Consider the following 14,549-nt stretch of genomic DNA (forward strand, 5'->3'; position numbering starts at 1 on the left):
CCTATTCACGGGTATACCTTTTCCTATTCTAGTCTCCTTGAGGCTTAAGATTTTACTAGAGTGATCTTTTCTTAAAACGTTTTTAATCATGTCACATCTTAAAGCATATTTAATCATGGCGTATGTCTGATTAAACAAACCTTCCCACTGCTCTTAGGATAAAGGCAAAACGTGTACTCACAGCCTACAAGGCCCAAATGATGTTGGCTCTGCCGACTCCTCTAGTCTTATTTCTCACCACACTTTCTCTATCTTTGTTCTCAAGCTGCCTGGCTCTTCCTTTCAGTCCCTTTTCTTTATCTTGCTCTCTCTCACCACAGGATATGTTTTCCTTTAGTGTGGCCAGCATCTATCTTCTTTCTTTATCTGGTTAACATTTGTCTTTCTTTAATTTCAACACAGTGCTCTTTTTCTCATGGGAGCCTTCCTTGATCTTCCTGACTAGGTCAAATTCCCTGTACAGACTTTCATAGCACACATACTTCTTTTTTGTTTCACTTGCCGCATTTGAAATTTTACATTTATTTGTATGATTATTTTATGTATGTCACTCCTGTTAGGTTGTAAAATTTATGAAAGAGGGACATTCTGTTGTTACTCACCATTGCAACCTGTGTCTCTGATACTACCTAACTCATCATGGAAAGTGCCCAATACTGAATGTTGTTGAAAGAACCAAACTCTAAGAATGCTACACTACTTATTTTAAAAACTTTGTTCTCTGAGCACTCCAAAGTGGCAGATTCAATGAGTGTGCACACCTGACTATAGAGCAGGCAATATTGATGAATTGTTAAGAGGATTGTTCATCTCAATCAGATACTAGGAAAAAAAGCTATAGAGAAGGCAAGAAAATGAGAAACTCATCTGCTAGGATCATAGCCACACGTCGGTGTCCATGGGGGATTGGTTCCAGGACTGTCCGAGGATACTAAAATCTGCTCATGTTGATGTTCTGCACTTGTCCTTGTGGAACTTGTGAACAGGAAAAGTCAGCCCTCTCTATCCACAGGCTTCACATTCCCAGAATACTGTATTTTCAATCTGCATTTTGTTGCCAACGCAGGACTCATCAATTTGGAGAGTCAACTATATTTATTTTAAGAAATCTGGCCGGGCACGGTGGCTCACGCCTGTAATCCCAGCATTTTGGGAGGCTGAGGCGGGCCGATTGCTTGAGCTCAGGAGTTCGCGACCAGCCTGGGCAACAAGGTGAAACCCCGTCTCTACTAAAATACAAAAAAATTATCCGGGCTTGGCGGCGGGCACCTGTAGTCCCAGCTAATTGGGAGGCTGAGGCAGGTGAACTGCTTGAGCCTGGGAGGCGGCGGTTGCAGTGAGCTGAGATTGCGCCACTGCACTCCAGCCTGGGCAACAGAGTGAGACTCTGTCTCAAAAAAAAAAAAAAAAAAAAGAAAAGAAATCTGTGTGTAAGCGGACTGTTGCAATTCAAACGCTATGTTGTTCAAGGATCAACTGTATATATGTCTTCCTTTCTTTAATTCCCAGTCAATTCGTAAGCTCAGTTTCCAAATCAGCTACTTAAGAGAACATGTGCCTTTTTTTGGCTGCTGTCTCAAAACATCATGTTTCAATTGGGAAACAGAGGGGAATTAAAGGCATCCAAATGCTCAACTTCTGGCTTTGATTAGATTATTCCTCGTTGTTCTATAAATAGTTATTTAAAAGCATAACAAGCAAGCACATGAAAAATAAATAAAACTGAAAACTAACTCTTTAAAGGCACAAGAGTTTGTCCAAACAAAATTGGTTAAATGAAAAAAAATTAAAAATTGACTCAACTCTCTGATATTCATGTCAAAATGTGAAACTTGTTTTTGTCTGAGGACATAAACATAAGTACTTACTTTAATTCAGAATAAAGTCTATGACAAGCGTGTTTCTCTTATATTTACAAATGCTATCAATTTATGAGCTGTGACTTGAGTGGATGGCAATGGAGAACATGCCAAGTGGATTGGCATAAATTTAATAATTTAATGCAAAGATGATTATATCGGTTTAGAATATTGAGTCAATTATTTAAGAAAATTTACAAATTGTAATCAAAGTGGTAAAAAAAAGTCTAGCGGTCTGATTAATTACTCCAATCTACTAATTAGGTAACTTTTAAATGTTCTCCAATGGCTTATGCAAACATGAAAAACATTCCAATTTCTGTTTCTTCTGTGTTCCAAACAATGCAATTATTGAAGCCTCAGTTCTAAATTTTCTTTATGTGATTGTAAGTTTACAGAGTAGACCTGAAAAACTCCTCTTTTAAAGTTATCCATACATTCTATTTTCTCTGTTTATAGGAAGATATTGTATGGTTGTGGATATTCCTGTGGACACAAGCTAGACAAGTGGGACCCACTAAACCTCTGGCTTGCGAACTTGGAGAATGAGGAAAAGAGGACATTTGTCACATCAAGAGAGCAAATTAAATGAGATAGCAGTTGAAAAAAAATCTGGCATGTATTAAGGATTCAATAAATATTAGCTTCTTTCCTTTCTTTTAAATATTAGTCTTGACAGATGATTGTATTAAAATGTAGAGACCCAGGAAAGGTGGCTCACACCTGTAATCTCAGCACTTTGGGAGGCCAAGGTGGACTGATCACTTGAGGTCAGAAGCTTGAGACTAGCCTGGCCAACATGGTGAAACCCCATTTCTACTAAAAAAAAAAATTAGCCAGGTGTGGTAGTGGGCACCTGTAATCCCAGCTACTCGGGAGACTGAGGCAGGAGAATCGTTTGAACCCAGGAGGCAGAGGTTGCAGTCAGCTGAGATTGTGCCACTGAACTCCAGCCTTGGTGACAGAGTGAGACTCCATCTCAAAAAAAAAAAAAGAATAAATACTAACTTCTTTTATATATGATTATGAGTCAACATTAAAAGCAACACTTCACAGGGATCAACCAAAAATATTTTACAAATTAACACCTACAAAGCATTTTTATCACTGTAATCAATTCATTTCTGTTACATGAAGAAAAAAGCTATTATTCATTAAAACATAATAAAGTGCTGCAGTTAGAGCAGTCATCCTCAGTCTGCATTCATTTTTCTTGCAGAAAAAACACTGATTCTCCTGAAGAACAGGAAAAAATTATATAAGTAGGCATAAAGGAAGGAAGAAATAAAAAGTATGAGGTGTTAGGTAATTTTATTCCTAGTACGTTCATTGTTTTTTTTTTCTCCCAGATCTTACTTCTTAATTTGACGCCAGAGATATTCTGTTTTTCACATTTGTGAAGAGAGAAAGGAAAAATAAAATTATTTCTACAGTATCAATAGTGTCCTGATACTAAAAAAGGCCATCATTACATCCTTTTTGGTGTGTATCATATTTCAAAAGCAAAGTGATCATTATTATGTCGAATCTTCTGTTATCCCCTGCTTTAAGACCTTAAATTCACTTCATATATGTGCATTTGTACCGTGAAAATGCACTCTAAACTTTTCAATATAAGTCAATATCAATACTATTATTTTCTTGCTTCATGCACCTCAAAATTAATACTGAAACATTACATTCTGCTTAGTGCCTCTCTGATGTTCAGTGTTTCACTTGTAAAAAAAAAAAAGCTACCAAAGACATAAAAGTAAAGAAAAAGGAAGCAGAGAAATAAAAGAAAAAGTGTTAAGCTATGTGTGTGTGTGTGTGTGTGTGTGTGTGTGTGTAGTTAGAATCTGATTCAGCTATAAGGAGAATAAGAAAATCATAGAAATAAACAAAAACTCAAGAATTTAATCAAGTGCCAAATCCACCTTGTAGGGTGATATTGTTTGGATCTATGCCCCACCCAAATCTCATGATCAATTGTAATCTCGTGTTGGAGGTGGGGCCTGGTGGAATTCATGATTGGATCTTGGAAGCAGTTTCTCATGAATAGCTTATCATCCCCTCAGTGCTGTTCTCACGATTATGAGTGAGTGAGTTATCGTGAGATCTGGTTGTTTAAAAGTGTGTAGTATCTCCCCACTGTCTTCCTCCTGTTCCAGCCATGTTACATGTGCCTGCTTCCCCTTCACCTTCCACCATGATTTTAACTTTCTCGAGGCTTCCCCAGAAGCAGAAGCTGCTACGCTTCCTGTACGGCTTGCAGAACTATAAGCCAATTAAACCTCTTTTCTTTATAAATTACCCTATCTCAGGTATTTCTTTACAGCAATGCTAGAATGGACTAACACACAGGGCCACAAATTTTTAACTCCAATTCTATAAATAAGTATAATCTTATATCTAAACATCAGTATTAAAATAGACTTTTGTTGAATTTTAGTGTAAATACGTTTATTTCAAATAAAATGAAATCACATATATTCTTATGTTTCTTTACCCATATATTGAAAATTTTGTGGCTTTTTTTCTAACCATTTATTATCCATAATAATAGTATAACTCAAGGATTAAATTAGTGTAGGGCCCTGATTGCAGGCAACAGCTGTTATATCAGGTTGTCTCTGGTCATTAGATTTGGCTTATTGATTACTCAGGGATACTTCTCATACACCTGTACTTCTTACACATTTATAGTAGCCCAGCAGTCACTACATAATGGGACCATTCTTGACACTTAGCTTTTTTTCTGCCTCTGCTTCACTCTGTGTTTGGATCTACTATCCTTCCATCTTGCTACTTCTGCTTAATCGTGGCTTTACTGCCTCGTAGCATCTACCTACCCTCTTCCTGGGTATTTTTCAGTTTTATGATATTCATATGCCTGTACTTGTGCATGTACATGTACATGTGTGTATCTAATTCTAAGGATATGAGAGTAGAAATGTTTTAATCTGTTAATCATCATTTTGGTAGTAATTATGCCAGCACATACAAATAGCTATTTATAACTTAGGCCCTCGCCTCAACGCCATTCAGTGGATATCATAATGATAGTATCTGTATGTAAAGAATGATCTGCTATTGCTTTTACCAGAATAAATCTGAGGCTGTGGTGAGCACTCATGGCCATGACCTGTCTAATATAGTAGCATTTATATATTTCATGAATTCTAAACATTTTACAAGTTGATAGGGCCATGCTATGTAACCTACATAATTTATGGAAAATTCTACTTTGTCTCCTAGATGTCCTTGAAGTTAGAAGCACTTAGGAAAACTTTTGCTTTGAGTGCATTGTATAGGACCACATTAACAGGTAAGTAATTAGATATCTACTGATCCTGTTCATTTGAGTTAATGCAGCTCTTGCTAGAAACTGAATTCCTGACTGTCAAGTCCATTGCATTTGACATACTAGTATATATACCACCCTCTCTAATTTTATTAAGTACAGTTTTAATAAATTAAGATAGTTTATGTTTATGGAAATGATAATAATACATTACATTGGTAGTAGTTCATTCTACCTTGGAGAGAAAAAGTAAACAAATGAATATATAAATGAAACAATTATTTTATAAAGCTTTAGAGAGCCTAAGCCTGTAATTCTATATTAATTTGTGATTACAAATCTGTAAAAATGAATTAAAAGTTATGGAGAAGTCCAATAACAAATAAAACAATCTTCTGTAGGAGAAATGCTGAACAATTACAATTTGTTGCCTGAAAAGGTAAAAGTCAACTTCATAAAAATGGAGCAGGGCAAACATAATGAATATAGATTATTTGCCAAATCCCACAAGTACAACTTGTTCAAATGATGTTATCCAAACAGTGGATACAGATTAGAAACATGTGTAAGTTGAAAAAGGTTTTGGTAATTTTCTGGAAGGTAAAATAATTGAAGATGATGCAAGGATGTTTGAAATTATACATATATAGTAAATTTCTGATTTTGATTTTAAAAACTGTTCTGAGTATAAAAATAACACATTGTCATTGTAAGAAATAGAATTGTAGAAAATAAACACAGAAGTAAAATTAAAATAACCTACTCTCAAGTGTAATTACTTCCAGGCATACACACACACACACACACACACACACACACAGATTCACACATAATATATATATGAAATTAAATATATAATTTTGAATCTTTTAAAAATTCAACATGACACCATAATTTTTCTGTTATCGAAAAATACTCCTTATAAATATATTTTTAATCTCACCATATTTCAATAGAGTGTAACTTTTTGATAAATTTCATAGTTTTTGATTATGAAACTAATCTTTTTATGTTTGTCATTGATTTATATTCATTTTGTGAGAATTGTTTATTCATAAAATTATTCTTGTTTTCCACTGGTCATCATCAATAATTTTTTAGAATATTATAGTTTCAGATCATAGAAAAAAATTCGACATCTCATAAAATTTTGGACCACTGAAACAACTCTGCACTGAAAAGATGTGGTAGGATAAAATCTGACTGAGGGAAGTTAATACATACACACACACACACACACACACACACACACACACACACATACATGCTGTATTAGGGTTCTCTAGAGACCAAACAAAACCAATAGAATATATGAACACATACAGAAAGAGATTTATTATGAAAGATTAGCTCACTTGATCGTGGAAGCTAGGAAGGCCAATGATCTGCTGTCTGAAAGCTGGGGGCTCAGGAAAGATGGTGATATAGTTCTAGTCTAAGCAGGGAGTCAGTGGTATAAGTCCAGTTCAAACCTGAAGGCCCAAGAACAAGGAGCAGGAAGTCCTAGGGCAGGAGAAGATAGATGTCCTAGATCAATCAGAGACAGCAAATTATCCCTTGCTCCATTTTTTGTTCTACTGCGGCCCTCAATAAATTAAGTGATGCCCATCTTCATGGGTGAGAGCAATCTTCTTTACTTAGTCTACTGATTCAAACGTTAATCTATTCTAGAAACACTCTCACAGACACATCAAGAAATAACGTTTTACTAGCTATCTGGGCAACCTTTAGCCCAGTCAAGTTGACACATGAAATTAACCATCTCTCTTTCACACACACACACACACACACACACACACACACACTCATATCGAATATTTAAGGAAACAGAAAAGTCAACTTCTCTGACTCACTGTTGTAATATATTTCACATTCATCAAAGCACCCTTTCGTGTCAACTTCCTTCCAGGTAATTTTAGCAAATGCTGGTGGTACCCTGTTCATATTCCCTTATTTCTTTGAAGCTTCCCCCATCCACTATGGCTTTCTATTTCTCTCTCTGCATAAAAGTTTTGTATATCCTTTGAGCCTTCTTTGTCCGTACAGAGGAGTCAAACCAGAAATGCCAGGGAGTTAATGCTCCATGAGTAACCTTCAGGCAATGAGAAACAAGAGCTCATGTATAACATTCCAGCTTCCTCTCTCCTTAGTGAGAAAATTATGTTTTGTTTTATGCACTGTTTCACAGGGTCCCTTCATGCAGAACTTCTCACAGACAATGGGTAACTCCATTTATTGATGCACTTTTTATTGGTCCTCTTCTCTTCTGTGCTTTACTTCTGTACCCTCTCATTGTATTTTCCTCAAATAAACTACTTACACCCAAAATCTTGTCTAAGGGTCTCCTTTTGCAAGAACCAAATTAAGATAGTCGTAAATAATAAAAGATGGTGGGGTTTTTCTTTCTTTCTTTCTTTCTTTTTTTTTTGAGACAGAGTCTAGCTGTGACACCCAGGCTGGAGTGCAATGGTGGGATCTTGGCTCACTGCAACCTCCACCTCCCTGGTTCAAGTTTTTCTCCTGCCTCAGCCTCGCAAGTAGCTGGGATTACAGGGACGTGCCATCATGCCCAGCTAATTTTTGTATTTTTAGTAGAGACGGGGTTTCACCATGTTGGTCAGGCTGGTCTCGAACGCCTGACCTCGGGTGATCCACCTGCGACAGCCTCCCAAAGTGCTGGGATTACAGGCCTGAGGGACCGTGCCCGGCCAAGATGGTGGGTTTTTCGGGCCGGAAGCAGTGGCTCACGCCTGTAATCCCAGCACTTTGGGAGGTCAGGAGATCAAGACCATCTGGCTAACACAGTGAAACCCCGTCTCTACTAAAAATACAAAAAATTAACCAGGAGTGGTGGCGGGTGGCTGTATTCCCAGCTACTCAGAGGCTGAGGCAGGAGAATGGCGTGAACCCGGAAGGCGGAGCTTGCAGTCAGCCGAGATAGCGCCACTGCACTCCAGCACGACCTACAGAGTGAGACTCTGTCTCAAAAAAAAAAAAAAAAAAAAAAAAAAAAAAAAAAAGAATAGGTCTTTGGAGAGAACTGGAAGTTTTAGACCGTCAAATTTAATGCACAAAGAACTACCTACCTGTGGCTTTATTATTGTTATTTTTTTCATCATTATTTTTATCAGGACTTTTTTTTTCACTGCTCATCCCTCCCCTGATGCTGATGTAATGAGGCAGCCTAGTGCTTACGAAGGAGACCTGAAATAGGAATATACAGATGCACATTTACCCTGTCTCTATCGCCTAAATTTTCAGCCTCAGTTTCATCATCTATAAAATAGATGTAAAATACTTGCTTTTCTAGCCTTCTAAGCTTTCTGCAAGACTTAAATTGGATTAGAAAGAGTGTTTTCTATGCAATAGTTTAGGAGCTGACAAGAACTGATATCAAGTTTATGCTTGAGCTTTAATCTCCAACTCACATGTCCTTTGCTGTTAATGTGTTTATGCATTTGGTAACTTTACCTAACATCCTTTAGAGTACCATGTGTTGAACTTCAGGACTTGAACTCTATGAACGTTATTTATATTCTGCTATAGATGCACAAGAGACCAAACAGTTAACAATCACTGGTTGTTAACTGGTGCTGAGAGAAAAGTTCACTTTGTGTTTTCCTCATGGGCATCTTTGCAGCAGTAAGAGCTTCAACTACAGTTCTCCCCCAAAGGAACCTGTCTAAAACCTGAACTCTTCTTATAATACTTGATCAATCAGGAAGTTCGAAACACACAGTTCTTCGACTTAAGAGCGGCTAGGGGAAGAGCTCTGTTAACCACACCATTGTGGAGCCGGAAATTCTTGCTTCCTCTAGAAGCAGCCATCTGGAATCACTATTACTAAAGCAGAGAGATCCAATTACAAGTATATATTTGTCAGGGAAACGCCTGACAGCTTTTAAAGGAAACTCTATTCTATGGTGCCAAGGCCTGGCCAGGTTTACCTGCGGAAAATAAGTCAGATACAAAGGCATGATCTGTACCGCAGAAACGAAAAGGAAGGAGAAATGGAAATAAAATAGACCTCTATTTTTATTATTCAGATTGTTTTTATATAGAATGATACGTTTACCATGTTTTTAAAAAGATTATAGAATATGTTTTCTTCCGTAGCAGAGAGGGAGCAATCAAGCTCAAATTACAAAGCGAGGAAAAAGATGAAAGTTTAGAAACCCTTAGAACTTTGCTAATGTACAGACAGAAGCTGAGGAAGGCTGAAATACAGGAAATAATGATTACTATTTGTGTTCTCTTTCATAGTTTCCACTTTGGTTAAACTAACTGGAAGGAAACAAATGATTAGGTTACTTGTGTCATCACTTACATCAGTCGTTGTATTTTTGAAAAAAAAAAAAAAAAACAATAAAAACCCAACACATCATTACCGTTTCCCATTCAAGGAGAATGGGAATCATTGCTGTATCTTATTCCATGTCACAAGCTGAATAGTTTTGTTGCAAAGACAGGGGAATATTGAAATAAGCATAATAGTTTAATCATAGAAGTGGTTGTGAATTTTTTTTTGGAGACCAGAGGTTATAGATCACAGTAAACAAAATATCATCTACGGAACTCTCTCTTCATTCCCACCTTTGTTCCTCTCTGTTCCCCTGAATGAATGCTCAGAGTATCATAAGGATCATCATTACAAATGCACAATCTTTTGTATGGAATTTTCATTTTTTTCTTTATGAAGTATTCTCATCCTTTCAAAGAGAGCCCTGATCAAGCCCTTTTTAAAAACAAACAAAATAGAAATAGTGTTGAGTATCTGCCATGTGCTAACCATCAGGCTGGACATCATATCCATTAACTTACATTCATGTAAATTAGTGGTTATTACTTGGTTTCCTTTTCCCTCTATTCCCTTCCTACTTAGAGTGTGCAGCACAAACTTTAGCACTTAACTGTGGCATCTCTATTGTTTAATTTTTTCTAGGCTGAGTGTGGTGGCTCACACCTGCAATTCCTGCACTTTGGGAGGTGAGGTGGGCAGATGGTTTGAGCTCAGGAGTTCCAGACCAGCCTAGGCAACCTAGTAAGACCTCATCTTTACAAATAAATTCAAAAATTAGCCAGGTGTGGTGGCACACGCCTCTAGTCCCAGCTATTCAGGAGGCTGAGGTAGGAGGATCTCTTGAGCCCAGGAAGTGGAGGTTGCAGTGAGTAGAGATGGTGCCACTACACTCCAGCCTTGGTGACACAGCGAGACCCTGTCTCAAATAATAATAATAATAATAATTGCTTCCAGTGGATTTATCTTTGTTCCAAACAGGGTTTTGAACTTATTTTGAAGACTGAGACATTGTGTAATATCGAGTAGAGGCTTACTAAATGTTTCTAGAAGGTTACATCTCAGGTATAATACACTATAATTCAATGTGACTTCAGGCCATTCTTAACATTAAGGAAGCTTGATTTTCAGTAACCAGGAAATGAAAATGACATAGGCTAATACATATAAAAATCTCACTGTCAGCTGTATGACTTCAGTATGACATATAACCTCACTGCTTTTTGGCCCAATGTTATTGGATCAATGGAAAGGAAAAATTGTGGCATCCAAAAGAATGAGCTCCTGCTTCATAGGCATGACTGTGCAAAGAAGAAAAATCTGTAATCATTCTAAAGATATCAGTATAAGGGATAAACCAGTGATTTTAAAGTCATCCATATAAAGGGCTACTTTCCCCTGCCTCTTTCCAATCCATTCTGGATTAATGTTTTTGTAAAATACTTTAAAAATAAATTACCAGAAAAATGGAATAAAACGGAGAAATACAAAATATATATCCTAGTTTTTTTACTCTCAGATTCAACAAAGTTACGCTGCCAAATTGCTATGACTGCTTGTTCTAAATTTATAACTGACTTTGTTTCTGACTTGTAGCACATAATTTGTGGAGCAACACCATTCCGCAGACCCACATTTTAAGAAGTACTGGTGTAAATCATAATCTTATCTTGGGAACAGTTGCTTACTAAATACCAAAACAAACAGAAATCATAATCATTTTGCAGGGGAACTCTTCTGCTGGCCAGAGAAATAAACTTAAGGTAGAAAAGACTTGACTAACCGATTCTCTTTGTTTTTCTTTTATCTTTTTTTATCACCTTTGTTTTATGTAAGTAATTTTTTTTTTTTACATTTCACTTTCTTAATAGTATTCAAGTCTTGGGAACATAGTTCTTGCAGATAATTTTTCATATTTCCTTGTTTCTGGTATTCTTAATAAGCAATCTCTAATTAGCTCCTGTGTTTTTATTTTATTATGTGTTACAGGACTGTATATAAATCTTATTTTATATTAAGTGCTTCCTAAGGCTTTCAAGAGTCAGTTACTTCAAAAGAGGCTTTTCTAACCACTGGTAACAATGATATTACTAAGTGGTTTTCTTTGAATAATAACCATTACTTTCTTTGAAGTTAATGCCAAACTTAATTTTAAAAAATGATATAAACATGTATAAATTCAACAAAGAAAAAAGGGAGAATGAAATAAATTTTATTAACAAATACCTCGTTTGTTTAGCATTCATTTCTCCAATATAGATGCATACCTATAATAAATCAAACAATAACATTAAGTCTTAACATTGCCATCTGCTGGGAATGTCAGTGCAGTGATACATACTAGAGGTAACATGATGAATTTGTAGTAGCTAAAATCATTTAAGTGAAAAACGTAATTGTTTTTCACTATATAATTCCTAGTTTGATTAACTTTTCTTTCAAAAAATCTGAACTAAAGGAGAAGAAAAGTAAGAAAAATTTGCTCAGTTACTTTGAGGTATTAGAGAGAGTTTTATATATTTTCTCTCAAACATTATTTTATCCCTTGGAGACTGAGAGAGAATTTTTCTTCATGCTTTACCTACAGGGGCACAAATTCCATATAGCTTACTTTACTTTCTTAGGTGCTAAGGAAGATGTGAACAGGGCAGAAAGACAGCCAAGAGTTACCTTTGTATATGTTTTCACTGGTTGTTTTATTTCTCCTTATATATATTCAAAGTTAAAAATTCACTATAACAATGACTTTAATAGTTTCTACAAATGTTGACTGCCTAAGTGGAATGTAAGGCATGCAATTTGTAACTTTAAACAATTAAAATTGTAGTGGTAACTTCTTGTTTCACTATTATTAGACCATGAGAAAAAAATGCCCATTTGACTTTTATTGTCCACGTCAACATGCAGTATTTCAATAGCCATAAAAAAACCAAATGTATTGGAATATACATATAATTAATGTACTGTATTTGAAGAGATTTTAGTGGTCATTAAAGATGTCAAAAGCATGTACAAGGTACAAAGGAATCAGGGATATGGCAAAGATGAAAACATCAATAATATCCCTGAGTTCATGTCCTTGGAAGTCCATCAAAAGCATTCAAATTTTTTTATCCTACTGAATATACAATTATATGAGCCTTAAAGATTAAAAGAAAGCTCATGGCGTTTAGGTAGAAAGTTAGCCAGCAAGAACCAGTTTTCTAGAAAAACCCATTACCTTCTATTAGGTAGAAAAACAAGAAGAATGGTGAATTGCTGTTTGTTTTCTCCTCATGCTTCGAGCATGAGCAGGAGCAAGGCCTTTCAATGACTGAGAAATGTCAATCGATCAATAGGCGATGAATAGAAAACAAGAACATAAAAACAAATCATAATAACATGAATTCCAGGTAAGTCTCTAGTGAGGCATTTAAACATATTGCAATATGCTGAGAATTTCCAATTTGCTAATATTTTCCCTAGTTTATATATTTTCTTTTATAATAACACATCAATAGTGTTTCAGGTTTGATTTATGAAGGAAGCCAAAAATAATATAATTCGGGGTGAGTACAACTGACGTTTATCATCCCTTGAGAGATATGATGGGAACACTCTTGTGGCAACACTAAGTCATCTTTGTGCTCTTCACATAAAGATGAAGATTACATCAGAGAGTAGAAATTAGGTATTTTCCTTTCTACTAATGCTCTTTGCAGTGTTACGCTGAAAGATTTTGGGAGGAAACAGGCTATTGTCACTGGTACAGATCTTCATTTTAAAGACCATCTTGTCACTGTTTTAGAACACTGAACAGGTCTAGATGAACTTTAAAGGATATTTCTAACTTTGATTCTAAAAGTAAACATTACAAATTATTTTTTCGATTGAAGTAAACAACTACAAATCACATCCAAACATTATTTAATCCCCCAGAATGACTCAGTACAGGATCTATTTGTTGAAGGTAAATATGAAAATTTTGCTTGAAACTTTTGCATAATCACATATTTTGAAAAGTAAGAAGTTATTTTCACAAAAGAAAAGAAACAGACATAAGCATGATATGCGTGAATGGATAATAACTGTTTTGTTTTGAGTATAGTCTATTATTTGTAATGGCAAGTTTACAATTTCCTACATGATATATGACATTCTGAGTAGTATCATTTAAATATGTAATTTAAGGTTGCATGGAGGAATATGTTCACCTACCGAAATTGAGACTGGAGGGAAAAGTTGACTAGTTTATTTTTAGCTGCTGTTTAACATGCCAGAAACAGAGCTAGTTGCCTAACATATATGGTTTCATTTAATCGGCCACTGCTTTTGGAGACAGGCAACTTTGTGAAGTAGAAAGAATGCTAGGGAAAGGTAATAAGAAAATCTGGGTTCCAGTTTGTGTGCAGGCATGGGTGAAGTTGAATGGAGTTAGTAGACTTCAAGAAATAGTGAAGCCGTTTTATCAAGTAGGTCATCTAGGTAGAAATGGAAAGTACTCAGGATGACAGAATCCTTAGAAACTAGTTTATGATCTCTACTTCCAAGTTGCATGATACCATGTAAGTGAGATAAATTATGAGACATGATTCATGTATTTCAATAAATATAAATGAGACTCCAGGAAATCGATAAATGGTAGTAAAAAGGAAAATAGAACTGTATGCATTTTCAGTCAGTGCAATGGAAATACTTGGAAGGAAGTAATTGAGTCAAGAACATGAAAAATAAGAATACCATGATAGGAGGGGCACTGAGATAATAACCAGACAAAATCCCGAAATAATGGAAATGTGAAAATGATTTTCAACCAGAACTGCTGAAAACTACCTTCGCTGCAGGTGTCCAGAGAACTGTTCAATGCTCGAGGATAGCATTGGTGTAAGGTTGCTGAGGCTAGTAGAAATTTAGCTCAGGCATCTTTGCAGGGGGTGTGTGGCCCTGTGCAAGTTGAGATCTGAATGGATTCTAAGGTCCAGTGAAAAAGGAAGCCTGTGACTGGGTTGCAAACTGCTGAAAATTGCACAGGATGGATCTTGGAAGAATCTGAGAGCTCTAGCAGTTGATATTTTGCTCTGTTCAGATAAAAGCAATGATGGTCTCTGACAGCTTGCTTTGATTATAATAG

The sequence above is a fragment of the Homo sapiens genome, chromosome 3 (genome assembly GCF_000001405.40).
Source record: "Homo sapiens chromosome 3, GRCh38.p14 Primary Assembly".
NCBI classification, from domain to species: domain Eukaryota; kingdom Metazoa; phylum Chordata; class Mammalia; order Primates; family Hominidae; genus Homo; species Homo sapiens.